The sequence below is a fragment of the Homo sapiens genome, chromosome 1 (genome assembly GCF_000001405.40).
Source record: "Homo sapiens chromosome 1, GRCh38.p14 Primary Assembly".
NCBI classification, from domain to species: Eukaryota; Metazoa; Chordata; class Mammalia; order Primates; family Hominidae; genus Homo; species Homo sapiens.
Window position 1 is genome coordinate 158670585 of NC_000001.11, and position 19176 is coordinate 158689760.

Here is a 19176-nt window from a genome sequence, read left to right on the forward strand (position 1 = left end):
CAAGGGTGGTGTTAAAGTCAGCATCATCCTAGGAACAGCCAGAGACATACAATGTATTGGACCCATGAAGTCTTCCTTTCACTTCTCTGAGTCCTGCCTTCACATTCACCAGCTTTCTGGGACATTGTAACTTAAGGCTCACAGGAAAACTCTGTAGTCATATATGATGAAAAACAGAGATAAAGATATACTATAAAGGAAAAATATGCTGTAAAGGAAAAGAGTAGACAGTACTTAGATATCTAGATGTTACCAAGGAAGAGAAAATTATATTAAGATATTGCTAGAGAGGAAGAAATGAAAAAAAATAAAATTTCTAAGTAATGATTCTATACTGAATAAGAATTCAATAATTTCTATTTACACTGAAGAAAATATAAAACAAAACCATACACTTCATCAGAAAAAAAAAACATGGCTACCATCTAGAAAAACTTTCCAGATATGCTTTGTAGAACAAGAATGGTGTGATAAAAATTGGTATGAGTATTTTTCTGGCTATTTTCACTTTTTTTCTAAAGATTAGTATTAAGTTTTGGCTTTCTCACTATATAAACATTTTATGTTTATAAAATTAAAGAGTTTGAAAAACACACAAATAAACACACCAACAACGAAAGAAGAGATGCAACTTGATTAGGGATAATCCTCAGGCTATGTCTGGTAGTTACAGGAGCAATGCTGTCTGGGGACAGGTATTGTGTAAAATTATGTATACAGAGAGGGAGCCAATGCCCAAACTAGGGCCAATTTCTTACTATGATCTTCTCTTCCTGGGCAGTAAAGGCTTCCTCAAAGTCTTCATGCTTCTGAAGAAGGGCTTCTGCACTGCCCAGTGAGTTTCCCAGATCCTCGTTTTCCAGGAAGGCCTGTAGAAGACAGAAAGACACACCTAAGCTGTGTCTGACCGGTAAGAAACATTCCTCTTGGCATATCTCTGAGACAAGGACTAAGGCAGGAGGGAACAAGGTGGGAATTAGCACACATTATGATAATGGGTAGAAATTAACTTTAAACAGCAGGAGTTTCAGGCCTCCTTCCTGATACTCTCATACAATTTTCTCACTTATGTTTCTGGGTCTGTCCACATGGAATTCCTCAACCAGTCTAGACATTATTCTGAGCTCTCAAAACTGCCTCAAGTGGCCTACTCACCTCCACTCTGATGTACCCTGCCTGACTCATCAGTTTTCTCTTCCTGACCCTTTACCAATTTGATATTTATTTTGCCTTATTTCAATTGTAGTTAAAGCCTCTCTGCTATGTATTTAAGTATATATGCTTTTGTTGATGAGGGAATTGTAGGAGCCTTATAGAAAGGGCCCATCTTTTCTTTTTCTTGTGGATCACCCTTTAGTTCCCAAGACAAGCTCTGACTCACAGGAGTGGTTGTGAGGGAACTCATGGTAGTCATGGTGGCAAATGAAGGGTGAGAGAAATTACTTCTAGAGATGGTATGGACCCCTCCCGTTACCTCTTGTCTACTCATCCAACTGTCCACTTGCTCACTGTCTCTGTAGAAGAGATGAAAGTCCAAGCACTGCTCATACTGACGATGACGCTCGTCCCACAGTTCCAGCAGGGCAGTCCAGTTGTTGTCAAGTATTTCCATCTTTGGAAAGAAGGAGATAATGTATATGGAAGATAATTAATTTATTTTATTCTATATTTATTGAGCATATAATAAATGCAAAGCCATTTAAGGATACAAAAATAAACAGCAAATGGGCTTTTAAGATTCCAACTTTTAAGCAAATGATTGTACTATAGGAAGAATGGGATAAATTCCATAAAAGAGGTAAAACACTATATGTATAAGGAAATGAAAAAGACTAATTCTAATTAAGAGAGCCAGGAAGTAGAAGTATGGGAAAGCATGGAAAATCTCATACCAAACAGAGATTTAAAAGGTAGGGAATGGGTATCAGGACTTAATGCCATAAGCAAATGAACTGCAAATAATTTTTAGATAATGTAATGTGAGCTAGAGAAAAGTGCAGTGTCTAAAAAAGTGTAGACAGTCAATGAAATCCAAGTTCATAGAGCACATAAAACATCACACTGAGAAGTTTGCATTTTATTCCCAAAACAAATAAAAACCATCAGGGAAAGAGAGAAGAGACATTCTCAAACACATGAAAAAGCCTTTGTTTCTGGTCAAGCATGTGCCCAAGAATTTCCAGCTTGTTACACCTGCAGCTGTATTATCTCCGTCAAAAAAGCAGAATATGGCCAGGTGCAGAGATTCATGCCTGTAATGCCAGCACTTTGGGAGGCCAAGGTGGGTGGATCACTTGAGGTCAGGAGTTCAAAACCAGCCTGGCCAACACGGTGAAACCCGGTTTCTACCAAAAAAAAAAAAAGTAAAATAAAATAAAAATACAAAAATTAGCCGGATGTGGTGGTGCGCACCTCTAGTCCCAGCTATTCAGGAGGCTGAGGCAGGAGAATCACTGGAACTCGGGAGGCAGAGGCTGCAGTGAACTGAGGTTGGCCACTGCACTCCAGCCTGGGGGACAGAGTGATACTCTGTCAACAACAACAAAAAAGCAGAATAAACTATCAGAATCCCAGGATAACTGTTAAGTTTTTAAGTACTTTTGAGTTCTGCTTTTTCTTTGACAGATCCTTGTTAAAATAAAAAAAAACTATATTATAATGTTCCCACAGAGTTCTGGGAGAATTCAAAACTCGGTTATCTCAACCTCATCCACTGCACAGTGCTAGAGGCTGTGCTTGGCATCTAGTGAGATGCAAAGAGGCATGCGGATCTTACTGTAACTATCATTCCAAGGTGTGCCTAGACTCTGCCACTGGTGCAAAATCTCTCTGGATCAAGGTGCAGAGGTGAAGCCCTATGATGTAGGAGGTTAGGATGATGGTAAAACTGATTTCTTCATTCAGTGGAATGCTGGGTGTTTAAGATTGTCCTGTTATTTAATGCAAATTTGAAAATCACAGATGCAGGAATGTCAGCTTAATTTGAGATTGTATAGAGGAAAGAAGAACATGCACAGATGTCAACCATGTCAGATGCTGTACTAGGCACTGTGGGGAACCCAGAAATGAATAAGGTGCAGTCCTCCTGGAGTTTACAGTCTAGAGATGAGCATGGGAAGGTCACGAAACTGGGCATACGTCAGGAGGCAAAATGGAATGGAGGTTTCAAATTAGGTAGAAGTCAGAGGGTTGATGAAATAAATGCTCAGAGATGAGGAAGCACACATCATGTCTTGAAAATTTCAAGTGACTCAATTTAGCAAAACAGTAGAGTTAACTCCCCATATCTGTAGGTTCCACACCTGTAGATTTAACCAACCATGGGTATAAAATATTTTTTAAAAATTCCATCTGTACTGAGCATGTACAGACTTTTTGCTTATTCCCTAAATAATACGGTATAACAATTATTTACATAGCATTTACATTGTATGAAGTATTATAAGTAATCTGAAGATAATTTAAAGTGTACAGGAGAATGTACATGCATCGTATGCAAATATTATGCCGTTTCTTGAGCATCTGCAGATTTTGGCACCTGAGGGAGGTCCTGGAACCAATGCCCCATGGATAATAAGTGATAACTGTATATGAAAGGAAGCAGTGTAAAAGTTTGATTCATATTATTAACACGTTTAAATGACTTCTATTCTTTTCCCATTTAGAGATTATCATATTATTGTGAGATTATGTAATGACTACATATATAATTGGAATTTGACAAACTCTGTTAAACTAGATTACCTTTTCCCGAACTTCATCAGAGGCTTCATGATTGGCATTCACGAGGTCTTGACCAGTCTCATCAGCAGATTGAAATCGGTCATCGTAAGAGTCAATCTCATGCTGTGGCCACAAAACAAAGTGTCTCAAAATGCAGCAAGAAACCTGGCATTTCTGGCATTCAGCCAAATAACCTGCCCCCTCCTCCTACTGGGCAGCCTTTCTTCTCTACCTTATGCTGCTGATGCCTGTCCAGCAGAACTTCTCCACCAGCCACATCTGTTGGCAGCTCATCAGCATTGATCGCAGCAGTCTTCTCGTTCATCCAGCCTGAGAGTTCATCAAAGTCAGATGAAAATCGATGGTACCTGTGGGAAAAGTGAGGTAAAAGACAGGAAGGAGAAACCAGATATGAAAGGACATTGAACAAAGATTTAGGTTTGGGGTGAGGTAAGATGTGTGAGATGCTCCTTACTCTAATCCTAGGTTCCCTTTTTCCTGATTATTTCCTGTTATTTACAGTCAGAGATTAGTGGTGCAGGTTGTAAGTCCTTCACCCCAGGTTTTATATTTCTAGGGTACGTGTGTTGCTGTGGGATGTGACCCATGAGCATTACACCTCCACCACCTCAAGGTCACACCTACCCTAGAGGTACTTAAAATGGAGTAAGGTGCTCATAATGCAACCAATAAACAATACATGTTGTTATATAAATAAGAATCACCTTATGGGAAGGAAGAACTAGAATTAGCATTAGGATTCCTCATCTATCTAGCTCATCTTTAACCCTGTTAATAAGAAACAAGAGCTGCAAAACAGTTTCCTATTTTAAAAAGTTAAATGCTCATCTTTTGTTTTGAAATCACAATCATATGACAAGCACTGTCCTCTGGTTATTTAAGGACTAACCATAAGAATTAATACTGAAATGATGCCTGATTATTAGGGGTTTTTGTAAGCTTGTAATCCACATTCAGGAAATAATACTGAAGTTATTTTGATGCTCTTCAGCTTGTATTGCATGTCTTTCAGTTCCTTATCTAGAGTCAGAATTTTGAAATGTTTCTTCAGTTGCTTTTCCAGCTTTTTGACCCATTTCATAGCATCCCACAATAATACAAGCAGGGGAAGATGGAAATTTGCAGATGAGTGGAGGTGTGATGCTGATCACAGGAGTCTCCCTTTATTTGTGGGAGATACATTTCAATATGCCCAGCAGGTGCCAGAAACTGCAGATAGTACCAAACACTATATACACTACATTTTTTCATATACCTATATGCCTATGATAGAGTTTGATTTATAAATTAGGTACAGCAAGAGATTAACAAACAATAACTAATGATAAAATAGAACAATTAAATAAAATAAGAATTATTTAAACATAAGCACTGTGATACTAAGACAGTCAATCCATAACTTAGACTGCTACTAAGTGACTAACGAGTGAGTAGATATACAGCACATATATGCTGGACAAAGGAATGATTCATCTTTCAGTGGGACAAAGTGGACCAGCCAGAAATTTTATCATGCCTCTTAGAATAATAAGCAATTTAAAACTTATAAGTTATTTATTACTGGAATTTTCCATTTAACATTTTCAAACTGTGGTTGACTGCTGGTAACTGAAACCACAGATAAGGGGGTGCTACTATATTATATCAGTCACAAAGGACTTCCTTTGGCAACTTAAATATTTTGTCTCTACTGAGCAGGCAGGAGAGCTGATTCTCTCGCTATTTGACTCCCTTTACTCTTATTTCTTCTCTCGCTATTATATCTGGGCCCTGTAGAGATAGGTAGAGCAATAAAGGGGAGGGATTTCCCACCAATAAGTAGCCTGCAGTTTTTCATATCTGCTGGTGGCCAGGGCACGAATATGCTCCCAGCTGGAGACCAGATCTTCTTTCATCTCCTGGATCTGAGGTGCATCTGAAGGATGGGAAAGTGTCAGCTTCTCTGCTTTAGCACATAACTCCTTCACCTTTGGGATGAAAAAGAAACCTAGTAGGAAATCCAAGTACTCTGACTCCCCCTGGCAAAGCTTTGTGGGAGAGGTATAAAAAATCATATGAATAATAATAATTTAGAAATCGACATATGAATAGATTTCTATTAATATACTAATGTACTACATTGATAATTACAATTCACTAAGTACTTTTCAGTCTCTCATTATGCTAAGTACTTTACATGAACGTTCTCATTTTATATTATTCATTTAATAATACCATGAGGTAGGAATTACTCTTATTTTTCTTTTATGCGAAAACTGAGAGATTAAGTATTTTATTTGCTTAAGATCATTCAGCTAGAAAATGTCAGGAGCAAGGTTCCAAACTAAGTTTTTCCTTCCCCACCCCTCTATAACATTTCCCTAAATATTACTGTGGGAGGCAGAAAGACATTTCTGTCCACAAGGCCAAGAAAATTTCAGTAATGCTGGATAATTTTCAGCACAACCTCTGAGGAGCAGGGTTACTAGGGCAAAATGTGGATATGGGTGGGTTTTCACATGTTATTAGCCCTTTCATCATACTCAACTATAATCAGATGATGTCTAGGGATTGGAATTTCCATACCATTATTTGTCAACTTATGGGTTTTATTATTCATTATTAGGGAAAAAGACCAAAAACAACAACAACAACAAAAAGGAAGAATGAAAGAAAAAGTAGAATGGTGGAAGTTTGCAGAAACTGGACACAGGGACAGGCCTAAAATTAAATTACAGCAAATGTGGATCTTTCTGTGGGCTGACTCCCCTGTGCACTCTCAGTAGTAATTGGTTTACGTTCTGGCTACATTTGTGAGGGGAAGAAGTAAAGGATGGAAATCATTTAAGAAAATAGGCTTGTTCTAAGTTCTAGTGTGCCTGAGGTTTTCCAGGTTTTAAAAGGAAACCTAAAGGTAGGTTTAGCATTAAGTGTCTTGAAGTTTATTTTAAAAGGAGAAGACAATGTTTTTCTGATCTACTGAGTACAAAAAGAATCAGGATTCAGCTGCAACAGAACAAAATGTGGTTAGATGAAAGGGTAGAGTCTGGCCACGGTGTATTTTACTCAGTGAGATTAGGAATCAACCTTGAAGGTATATTTGTTTTGTTTTTAAATTGTGAAATAAGTTAGGAAAACACAAGAGAATATAAAACATATGTGTATATTTAAATAAAAATAATTCAAATGAAAATAAGGTATATCCAGTATCCACATACGAGTTATGAACTAGAATGAAGAAGCGTATTCAAGTGCACACAATTTCTTCTTCATTGAAAACAGTGAACTTATTGTGCTCTCTGGAGGCACGGTAATAGGCAAGATAATCAACAATTGCCTCTTCTAGCTCAACGGGTTAGCCATTTCTCTAACAGCGCATTACCTTGTCACTCATGACAGCAAGATTTCTCTCAAGTCCCTTGTGACTGTGAAACAGTCCTTCAGAGGCAACAAGGTCTTTGCCATAGTCCTCAGAGGTGAGTACAGGTTCCTTCTCCTTGATCCACTGGATGGCTTCAGTCACATCCCTGCAGTCATTAACAAGAGCTCCAACCAAAGAAGATAGCAAGCATTACAGGGCAAACGGTCCAACAGAACTCACAGCAAGGACCATCCTAGTTGACCCAGGAGCAATTATCCTTTCTTCCTACATACTAGCAAAAAGTAATATAAAATGTTCTTACTTAATGGTTATTTCTATTGAGATGTTAAGGTCCTGGGCTTCTTGACAGCTGAGCCTCTAGAGATATGTTCCATATCTGGGTCAGCTCCTTACGAATGCTTTTCTTCTTCCTAACTCCACCTTCCATTTAATTATTAACCTGCTTCCCTTCCGTCTGCAGCGCTTCCATTCCTAAATTACCAATGCTACTTTTTTAGTTATTTTGATCTCCAATCTCTACATCCTTGGCCATAGAGTAGGTCACAGATTTCTTTACCTTCTCCTTTGCTGTCCCAAAGGCAAGTACATGATCCACTTTTGTTTGAAGTGTTGACCATTAATTGCTAACAGAAGTAGAAAGAGCCTAATACAAAGACACGGTTTTTATAAAGCACTTCAAAGTTTTCTATAAAGCAGTGGCCAGATCCATACCTTTTGAATCGTTGTAAGTTTGCAGCATTGGACAGAGCTTTCTGTCTCTGGAGAGCCAAACCACGAAGGCGCTCCCAGGCAGCATTCACCTCATTTTGCTTAGACTGAATTAAGGGTAGGTCAGGATGGTTTTCCTGTTGAAGGAAAACAACACTGGAGTTATACAGAGATGAGATTATATTTAAAAAATTATTCAAACACTTTTCATTTTACATTAGTTCATACTTTTACAGAAGTGAAAACTGACCATTGTAGCCAGACACTGAACTTCATCATAGCCCTCCTCCCTAGCTCCAACTTGATGCACACTACCAAAACCTAGAAAAACAACCTGCCAGATGTTGCATCTGTGCCCACAGCAGTGGACTAGCCTATTAGCACAGGTTGCCCAGCCCTGATGTTATTTTTAGAGCTCCACCTTGTCAATGCTTGAGATCTCCTTGAAATCCTGGAAACCAAGGAAAAGAAGAGGAAATTCCTTTTATGAAATACAACTTAATTTTCTCAAAGACTAGTGCTGTGGGTCTTAACTTTTTTGTGGTCCTCACACCTTTGAGAATCCAATAAAAGCTATTTTTCTCTTCCCAGAATTATAGACACGTGCTTTCACGTATGATTTTGCATAAAATTTCAGGCATTTTTGCAAACCATCCAAAGTAGTGAGATCTGTGAATACTAGATTAAGCTGGAAGCATCAGTCTATTTTCATACTTTGCAATTTTGAGGCATTCCCATATGCCTAAGTCTCCTTACTCTTCCTGTCCCTGTTTCTCTCCATTTTCATTCCCATTCCCAAGTCTCTCCAGACAGAATTTTCTCCATTCTCCTTCTCAAGTACATGGTTCTTTCTATTACAGCAGTGTAGGCCCCACTCGAGAGCACAGAATATAACCTAGCTGTGTTGGATTTATTCTTTCTATGATAGATTGGAAAAAATCGCATGCTATTTTGCTGCTCATCCCTTCAAAAGGTAGAGTATGTTTCCTCAAGTCTTGGATCTTGGATGGTCTTTAACTTGCTTACTGATAGAAAGTAGCAGAAGTAATTTTCTATGAGTTCCAGCACCTAGGCCTCAAGAAAACTTTCATTTTCTATTCTCACACTCTTGTAACACTGGTATGTAAGAAGCATGGTCTACTGCATGATGAGAGGTCACCCAGAGATCTCCTCAATCCTCCCAAATCATCCTCACCAGGGCCCTAGACATGGGATTGAGGCCACCTTAGATCCTTCACCCCAGCTGAGCCACCTGATCACTTCAGACACATAAAAATGCCAGGTAAGATCAGGAAAACAGCCCAGCAGAGCAGCTCAATCATCTGATTCACAGAGTCATTAACAAGTAAGATGTTAAGTTTGTTGATTGGTTAGACAGTAATAGATAAATGAAAAACTTCCACAGCAAGAGAAAAGTGATGGAGGTAGAAAATTTAGAAACTACTGGAAATATGGCCTGAAAGAAAAATAGGAAAACATAGGTTATTTTTCCTACTCCAGCACTCATTCATTCTGAAGTCTTCTTTTTATTAAGTCAGGAAAATCATTCTCACTATAGAGCTGCAATCATAATGAAACTATAAATGGAAAAGCAAAATATAGCCAACTGTTGGAGTTTATTTATTTTACATCTATATACTTACATATACATGTAAACTTATATATATATACACATCACAAACTTAAGTATTTTCTTAAGTAAATAAAAGTAAAACCGCTTCCTTTCCTTCCTCAATCCTCCGAAATAATCTTGTATAATGATATTACATATGCATATATATGTATAAATAATGATAGCTCAACATTATTTTATATGCTCTGCTACTTTATTTTTGTGTTTTTTCATGAAGAAAGAGTGCCCCATTAACATGAGTAATCAGTGTACTGCATGGTACAGAAGCTACTATATAAATGGCAATAGCTTCACTGCCCATTGTGTATTTAATTTCTCCAAACACACAAAAACACACTCTCTCTTTCTCTCTCAACCCTCCATTTCAATAGACTTGTAAGGGGTGGGTCCAGAGGGGAGAGGAAACTGTTCAGAATATGTTACTCCAGGAACATGCCAACCTCTGTTTTCTCACAATGCCCCATCTCCTTCATATCCATCTACTAATGGCCAGAAGTTATTCTTAAGGATAAGAACCCTTTGCACGGAGTGAATATTTTGCTCCCACCTCACCTCGGCACACTCATTGGCATATTGGTTCACTTCAACAACTCTCCCTTCTTTAGCTACCAGCTCCACTTGGAAGTCTTCAAATTTCTTATGCAGAACTTCGGTGCGCTCCCAGTCTTCACCTAGCTCCACTGATGTCGCTATAGCCTCCTGTAGACACAGAAGTTGATTGAGTTGCCAGCAAACATTTAGGAGTTTCTGTAGGTCAAAAACTCAAAACTCCTGCTTGCATTCCCAGGATAACTCAAATGGAGATACTGGGGGAGACTGGGAGAAGCTCTCCTGGAAAAGGCCAGCAGCAGAAGTATATTTGTTAAGGTAGCACCTTGGCACAAGGGAAAGTGCTCTTTCGGGCAGTTCTTTAGCAAGTTTGTGGCATTACTGGCAAGAGACCCTGAAAGTACCCTTTTGTGTTTTGAAACATGAGGGATAAATTCATCCTGTTTCTACTCAATTCAACATATCAGTATCTACGAAAGTATTTTGTTAGGCATTTGCTTATCTAAATCTTTAGTCCTAACTATTAAATTATTCCTTTAGTATTTAGAAAAATAAAACCCTCCATCTTTATAGGCACTGAGACACAAAGGATTAGAGAAAGAGCTGTCAATACTCTCAGCCAGACCCCAGAGTAAGAGCAAAAACATAGGAGAAGGAGTTAAAAATCATGGAAGTGGAAGAGAGATGAGCCTAATTATCTTTCAATGCATGGTCTTTGTGTAAGTCTTGCCTTTTTCATATTCAGATCCATATGTTAAGACTTACTTCCATACAATGTTGACCTCCAGATACCCCTACATTTTGGCCCCAATTTCCTCTTGTTCCAAAGAACAAAGCCAGGAACAGACATCCTGACTTCCTTGTGAGTAGTCTGCAGTAATTTGCTATGGGGTACCTGGGACAGAGGAGTGGGAGGCCCTGTGTGATTGCTGTTTTAAGTTCGATACCTTGTCTCCAATCCACTCTAAGATGTCAGCACACTCCTGTACATACTGCTGGAACTTCAGGGCCCGCAGCAACTGGTCACCCTTCTCCAGGGTCAGCTCTAACAGCAGGTCCCACAGGTGGCGTAGCTCCTCTATATGGGCCTTTAGGAAAGAGGGGCAAAACCACTCAGCCACAGACACTGGGAGCAGGGAAACACTCAGAGACTTGTGCAGAAAGAGACCTGGATAAAAATTCTTCTCTCAGTTACTCATGCATTAGTTGCTCAACAAACATTTAAAAGAGGAAATAGGATAGATATATGGAAATAGCTAACAAGCCAAGCCAAATGCGATCTTACATAAGAGAACAATTTGTAAAAATGCTTTGCAGTTTTAAAGGATGGAATAATTACAAACAATAAGATGGGAAGGAGGAAGAAAGCATGGAAAAGTGTTCATTTGAACTGAGCCTTATGGAGCAGAAAGATTTTTGACAGGTCAATCATAAGCATAACATGTTCTAAGAAGAGCAAACAGCAATAGCAAAGGCATAGGAGAAACTTAGCATGAATTGTCTGCCAGAAAGTGTGAGAGCTATAATTTTTATAAGTTATAAGGAAATCATTGGCACCGAAACAATAACAGTGTTTTGGGACTATACAGTTTGAGAATCTACAGAGGGCTTTGAATGCCAGATTAACTCAGAACATTATGTATTACCTGTCTTATATAACTGAAATTGCCACCTATGTCATATCTTCAAGAATCTTATATTTTTCAACTACTCCATTGCTCTGGGTAGCATGTGGACCACATATGTCGTTAAACCCCGCAATGGTACCATTTGCTATAGCCCCAGTGATTCTGACAGAAATGAAGATGTTTCAAACATTTCTCAAATATTGTAATTAATGTAGATGCTGGTTACATGCAAAACTGTGCATAATACAAAAGTTAATTATACTTTATACAAATAAACAAGTTTTGAAATTTTCCTTTTATGGGTTCTTCTTTAAAATAAGATTCTATTCTGGCTAAAATCTGTGTCCGTTGACCATATTTTGATGACAGAATGGGCTAGAATTTTTATGCTATATATAGAAAGGCCAGACCCAGTTTTAAGATATATAATGCAAATTTGTTTTGACAATTAAAAAAATACATAAACAGTAAAAAGTTCACTCACACACAAAAAAATTGAATTGACAATATTAGCACAAACATTTGGAAGAGTTCGTAGATTAAGTCCAAAAATAGCTGTTACATTAATAATAGATTACAGAGTATGAATCCTTATTGAAATAGTGATGATCTTCATTTCTAGATGTTCAGAGAAAATTTTCTGACTACATGACATTTGGGAGTTTTTAGAAGTAATAAGAAGGGACAGTTTGGAGAGGTGCAATAGTAGTCATAGGGTATGGTGTATGAAAAGAAAGAGGCATCATAGACAAAGGAAAAATATTTTGGAAAACATTCAAATGAGAGAGCATTCCTTATTTGGAGAAGTTAAGAGACAAGGACATTGAGGTTAGAGGAAATAATTAGAAAGAACATTGGAAAAAACTAATTGATCTGGATAATGTGGAACAGGTTTAAGTGGGCTTGATCTTGAGCCAAATTATCCTGCACTGTTATAGGAGGAATTTTATGCCATTTAATGACAGCTTTAATATCACAGCTCTCTTCACCCCAAGAAACACGAAGATATCCCATCATTTTTTATGCCTCAACCCCAGGGGAAGATAAGAGGCAGGAGTCCTGGGTATAAGCCAGCCACTCAAGGTTTATATCTCATATAATCAGTTAAAACCCTGATAACATAATCAATAATTGGAAACTTCTTCAAGGGCCCATACATATACCTTCGTTTCTTCGTGGGCAGAATGACCCATGGTAAATCGTTCTTCCCTTGTTTTTTCCAGTTCAGACATGAGTCTTGATTTTGTTTGCACCTCTGCTTCAAGGGATTGATGCTTCTGATATTTCCCCTAAAGTTTAGAAATCAGAGTTTTTGTCTAATGAAGCACAGTCTTCATGGGAAATGTTCACTCTATGTAAAGCCACCAAACACAGGTTCTCAAAGGGTCCCAGACTCAGAGGCCATAAAGAGTATTTTCCTGTCCCCACTGGCTTTAGGAAGTTTTCAGTAAATACTGTCCTGAGCTATGCTGAGCCTTATGATCTATGCCGAGCCTTATTTTAAAGGCTCAATAGACTGCCATAGGAATAAAAGAGTGTAACACACAGTGTCCTTCCTCATCAGAAAAGAGGAATAACTGATTTTTTTTTGGAAGTAGAGCACAATGAGAAAGATGATAGTTATAATAATGGTTTTTAAAAAAAAAAATTGAGAGTTTTTTTTGCATGCTGTGCCTGTTCTTGTAATCTATAAATTGATCCATTCAATATAGCACATTATTTTGCTCTTGTTCTAGGTGTTTCCTGTCCAACATCAATTGCTTCTGATTATGACAACACCACATGCTATAATTTTAGGTGAATAGAAAGGGGTAGGCACTTTCACCAAATTTCTTCTACTGAAACCTCTCTTTTGAAGTTAAGAGCCATGAATAGCAATTTAGGGAAGAAAAAAAAAAAACTCTGGTTAACTCATCTCTCTGAGAAGAGTAGAGAACAGGTATCACATGCTATAATTTTAGGTGATCAGAAACGCGTAGGAGCTTTCACCAAACTTCTACTGAAACCTCTCATTAGAACTTGAGACCCATGAACAACATTTTAGGAAAAACTTAAGAGCCATGAATAGCAATTGAGTTAACCAGGTTAACTAAATTGGATTTTAGTTAACCTGGTTAACTCTTATATTTCTGAGAAGAGTGGAGGACAGTTGCTTCAGAAGCATTGATGACTCTTCACCCTATTTCCCTTCTTAATGTCCCAAAATATCAAAAATCACATGGTTTGTCAGAAATTTCTTGAATTTGCAGTTGCTGTTTTGCCTGTAGGTCAATTTCAGATGAGTATTGTAACCATCAAATTCTATACAGAATAAATCTCCTTTGCAAATAACACCCCGATGTTTATGAAGATGAAGACATGGACTATTTAGAGGCAGAATTACTGTTTCTAACAGACAGTCTAATTTTTCCATTACATCACTCCCACTACAATTAACCAGATATACACTTACATTACCATAATATTTGTGCTGGATCTGAAAAAAAATTGATGTAATTTTTTACTTTTGGCATTGATGAATGCTTCACCATGAAAATATGTAAAGTATCCTATGCCCTTATCAATAAGCAATATCCTTGGTTAATGATTAAAAAATGTATATTCTGAATGGAAGTTCATTGTAAAAAACAGTTCTGTGCTTTCAACAACTGAAAAACTGCTGCTTTTTGTTTGATTCTTATTTTCTCAGTCTCACCTCTCCAACTTCATAAGGGAAAATGCACTTTTAGATTTTCTATTAATTTATTTCTTTAACTTCCCACTCCACTGACTTATTTTTGTTTCTAAACGGAATCTAATTGTACCCACACATACCCATTAACATTAACATAAAGAAAAACCTATTTCCTTCTCTAGAGATCTTAGGGTCTGCTCTGAGGCAATCAAGAGAACTGAGTGACCTGTATATTAGTTGGGTCTTCATAGCTCTTATCGGTTAAGATATTGACTTTCTCCATGATCCACTTCCCCAGATCATCTGCATCTCGCTTGAAAACTTGTAAGTGATAGGAATCCTCAAGCTTCTGACCCCTCTCAGCGACCCGCTCCTTGAAACTTTGATACCGAGTCAACACTTCCTGACGCCTCTCCTGGATCTCTTCTGCTGTTTCCAAAACCTTTGGCCCACTGCTCTCCACAACCTGCAAGTTAAAAAGATTCTGTTACTTGCTAGTTCTCAAATATTTAACATGTTGCCCCGCTTATATGTGTCAAGGTGTTTACTCATGTTGGACCTATATTCAGATATCCTGAAGTTTCTAGGGACTATTGTCAGAAGAGCTGTAGTATATTTACGTAATTTTTAACCAGACATAGCTTCTGTTTAGGTTAAAAATTCTTGATTATCCAGAAGACTCTCCTCACTTTTTACATAAATTTGTGCTAGCATTTAAGTTCTATAGATATAATTATATTGGACTGATCATGGAGCAAGTTTAAATCAGCAAAATCACATAATTTCAGATAGATAAAAAGAAATATAATGTTATTGCTTTCAAGGGCTAAAAAGGTGTTGAGAAGTGCTTATTATTTTTAACTTAATTTAATAAATAATTAAGAATGGCTTGCAATTAATTTAGTTAATGATATATGCAACAGTTTGAAAATTTTGTTTCCTTCATACTTAAAAATAAATCTCATATATTTACTCTTTACTTGCTTTACTCACAAACACTATAAATCAAAAGTTCAGCTATCTTCTGCCCAATTGTCACAAATTTCAAATTATTAGCATGTCTGCAATTTATTTTTGAAATATAAAAACTTTTACTCTAAAACAATATATAAGTATCCTTTTCCCAGAGTGGGAGCCAACCTGTTTGTGACAATATCCAGCAAAATCACCATAGGGTTCACCTTCATTCTTCTGGATATGGATACCATTTTCCCTAGCTTACCTCAGCCAAAATGTTTAATATAGAGTTTAAATTTTAATCTCCCATTATTCCTCCTAAGTATAATTGCTACTCTGTGAATTGCCATTACTGGCATGGCTATAGAATTAGATCATTACATGGAGACTCACGTTGTTACTAGGTGTTATTTAGCTTCAATCTCCCTACTTATTCTCTCTGGGAACCGACTTAAGTCATTACTGGGTCTTGGTGCTGCACAGACATAAGCTCAAGGTTATTGTTCACAAAAAATAGTTAAAAGTAAAATTATCTATTTGTTAAAAGCCAAATAATTATTAATGTTCCTGGGAAAGATAGTATAGAAAGTTTAAAGGAAACATCTTTCCTAATAATATTAATGACAAATTGCATGGAAGAGAAATATGTACTTACGGTTTCCTTTGGAAATTGCTCCATTTTTCCTAAAGGTTTAGAACCTGGCAAGATAAAATGTGTCAGAGAGAGAGAGAGAGAGAAATAATTCAAATGGAACTGTCCAGTCGAATTCAAATAGAAATATAGAAACGTTAAGTATGTGGGGGAAAAAAAAAAACCTCTTGCTTGGTCCTAGAATCCCATCAGCCATACACAATCGACATTATCTTTAGAAGACATACTCAGCTGAGGCAACTGCTAAGTTTTACAGATACTGGGTGACTCAGCAGTTTTGGGAGGCTCTGGCTTTCAAAGTTACTCAATAAGACTTAAAAAATGAAAGTAAGGTTTTTGGATGAAAAATTAGAAAAAAAACCCCATATATTTATAGGAAATACAGCTCAACAACTTCATCCAACTCAACTGCAGATTTTTCACAGTCTTTAAGTCAACGAATTATCCTGGCTTTTTCTAGAGAGTCTTTCACAAAATAAGATTTTATTCCTAACCTCAACAATTTGGTCTTTAAAAATCTGATTTAGTTGTACTCTTAATCATTTAAATGGAAGGAACAAAAAAAGTTATATGATGTGTTCATTAATATTTTGTAAAACAAAAATTAGGATACCTTATTTGACAAACCAATGATGTCACAAAAAAGTTGAAAATATGGCTGACTTCTGATATATATGGTATAAATCATCCTACTGTATGTATTAATTTTAATGGAGAACAAAAAGAGGTAGACTTTTTCCATAGGCATAGTTATTTTAGACTAACTTACAAAAATGAAACAAACAAGCAAAAAGAAAATAGTGGGATGCTCTTAGACCTTTCTACAAGCCAGTGGGGCTATCCATGCCAAACTTCATTCCAGTGTAAATGCAGCTTGAATAATCTAACTTCCATGATCTACAAGAGAAGATTTTGATTCTACATTTGTGGTTTCCCCTGTTCTTGGATCTCACATAGAAAAACTGAGAGTCCTTTACATTCTCTTCTTGAAAGTCTGGATTACTTTACTTTTCCATATAGTTTCATTATATTCAAGTCAAATTTAGTAGTAAAGGCAGGAACATAATTTTAGAGACTGCACTATAACACATGCACTGAGGAATATTTGTCTGAAGTTGGGATAAGGAGAGGAAATTATTTTATCTTTAAGAGAAAAGAATCAACATCTATGAAATATTTATATATTAACATGATCAATTTACATTAATTTCTAATCTTTAAAAATTCTGTGAGGCAGGTATTATCATACCCGTCTTTATGTGAGAAAACAGTCCCTAAAAAACAAAGTTTCATTCTATGGTGATTTGGTTTGAAAGTATTTAAATAGTCAAATCCATATCAATATGATTATCATGGCACTCTGCTCCTTATTTTTTTAGTCAATCTTCTCTTAGTCCATCAACATTATTTGTTCTGTTTCCCTGTTCCAGAATCATCTTAGCAAGAATGCCAAACATGTGATAACCTTGTGACCAAAGAAATAGTATGGCCCATTGTGAATAGTGCCACAATATACATATGTGTGCATGTGTTTTTATAGTAGAATGATTTATAATCCTTTGGGTATATAGCCAGTAATGGGATTGCTGGGTCAAATGGTATTTATGGTTCTAGATCCTTGAGGAATTGCCACACTGTCTTCCACAATGGTTGAACTAACTTACACTCCCACCAACTGTGTAAAAGCATTCCTATTTCTCCACATTGTCTCCAGCATCTGCTGTTTCCTGACTTTTTAATGATCGCCATTCTAACTGGCATGAGATGGTATCTCATTGTGGTTTTGATTTGCATTTCTCTAATGACCAGTTATGATGAGCTTTTTTTCATATGTTTGCTGACTGCATAAATATCTTCTTTTGAGAAGTGTCTATTCATATCCTTTGCTCACTTTTTGATGGGGTCATTTGTTTTTTTCCTGTAAATTTGTTTAAGTTCCTTGTAGATTCTGGATATTAGCCCTTTGGAACCAACCTGAATGCCTATCAGTGAAAGACTGGATAAAGAAAATGTGGTACCTATACACTATGGAATACTATGCAGCCATAAAAAAGGATGAGTTCATGTCCTTTGCAGGGATATGGATGAAGCTGAAAACCATCATTCTCCACAAACTATCACAAGGACAGAAAACCAAACACCACATGTTTTCACTCATAAGTGGGAGTTGAACAATGAGAACACATGGACACAGGGAGGGAAACATCACACCCTGAAGCCTGTTGCGGGGGTGGTGGGATAGGGGAGGGATAGCATTAGGAGAAATACCTAATGTAGATGACGGGTTGATGGGTGCAGCAAACCACCATGGCATGTGTATACCTATGTAACAAACCTGCATGTTCTTCATATGTGTCCTAGAACTAAAGTAAAATCATCACAATAAAAAGAAAGTAAAAATGCTTACTAATTCTATAATGTTTATTTTAAAAAAAAAGAAATAGCATGGCCCAATCAGCAGAACTGATCATAAGGAAATAAAAGTGTCTTTTCAACATATGTGTTGGAAAAATTGCATATTCACATAAAAAAATGAAATTGGACCCTTATGTTATGTACAAAAATCAACTCAAATGGGATTAAAGACTTAAATTACAACCTGAAACTGTAAAACTCCTGGAAAAAAAAAAACACAAGGAAAAAGCTTTATGACTTTTATCATATATAATAAGAATTATATATTTAGTATTTTATACAGTTTTAAAAGGATGGGGATAATTTGGAGGGCTGTTGTATCTGGCCATGGTTATCACCTCAGGGAGGGTTTGTACTTTACATAGTAGTTTAATCAGCACTGAACAGCTTGCCTCAGCTGCTGCTCAGGCATCAGAGCAAAGTGATCTGTTTGGTCTTGCCAAGTACTTCTTGGATACGGTACCAGAAACAAATGCAACAAAAGCAAAAATAAACAAATTGGACTACATCAAACTAAACATCTTCTGCACAGCAAAGAAAACAATAAGCAATAAAAAAAGTTCTCTTATGGAATGGAAGAAAATATTTGCATACATCTAACAAGAGGTTAAAATCCAAAATATACAAGGAGCTTCTTCAAATCTATAACAAAAACGAAAATTAGAAAATGAGCAAAGGACTTGAACAGATGATTTTCCAAAGAAGACATACAATTGGCTAACAGGTATAAGAAAACGTGCTCAACATCACTATCAGGAAAATGCAAATCAAAGCGATACTGAGATATTATCTCACATCTGTTAGGATGGCTACTCTCAAAGGAATAGAAAAATAAGTATTGCTGAAAATATGAAG

General features: G+C 36.9%; 1 protein-coding gene across 8 annotated transcripts in view, besides 2 other annotated features; it reads right to left on the minus strand.

The window, feature by feature from the left end:
* The window catches only part of SPTA1 (spectrin alpha, erythrocytic 1), a 76012-nt gene extending 59881 nt beyond the window's left edge, over positions 1-16131 (minus strand). For 6 of the 8 annotated variants that reach the window (XR_921911.4, XM_011509917.4, NM_003126.4 and 3 more), the window contains exons 1-12: positions 15910-16131; positions 14524-14763; positions 12787-12912; positions 10943-11083; positions 9999-10145; positions 7817-7950; positions 7106-7250; positions 5557-5711; positions 3956-4091; positions 3745-3846; positions 1475-1612; positions 759-869 (exon numbers count right to left, since the gene is read on the minus strand). Coding sequence is in view for 7 of the 8 variants with exons in the window: in XM_011509917.4 (XP_011508219.1) it covers positions 759-869; positions 1475-1612; positions 3745-3846; positions 3956-4091; positions 5557-5711; positions 7106-7250; positions 7817-7950; positions 9999-10145; positions 10943-11083; positions 12787-12912; positions 14524-14763; positions 15910-15933 (1599 nt within the window). In the remaining variant the exon portion in view is untranslated. The remainder of the gene's footprint in view (positions 1-758; positions 870-1474; positions 1613-3744; positions 3847-3955; positions 4092-5556; positions 5712-7105; positions 7251-7816; positions 7951-9998; positions 10146-10942; positions 11084-12786; positions 12913-14523; positions 14764-15909) is intronic. The other 2 variants (XM_011509916.3, XM_047428883.1) reach the window with 2 other exon arrangements.
* Positions 17978-18192: a silencer, noted in NCBI's record as "fragment chr1:158658352-158658566 (GRCh37/hg19 assembly coordinates)". NCBI's record gives its function as "represses an EF-1alpha promoter that drives an FKBP-Casp9 reporter gene in an ReSE screen in K562 erythroleukemia cells {active_cell/tissue: K562}" and the evidence as "EXISTENCE:reporter gene assay evidence [ECO:0000049][PMID:32094911]".
* Positions 18552-18849: a transcriptional cis regulatory region, noted in NCBI's record as "candidate enhancer chr1.9295 targeted for multiplex CRISPR interference". NCBI's record gives its function as "positively regulates SPTA1 gene expression with high confidence in K562 cells {active_cell/tissue: K562}" and the evidence as "EXISTENCE:mutant phenotype evidence [ECO:0000015][PMID:30612741]".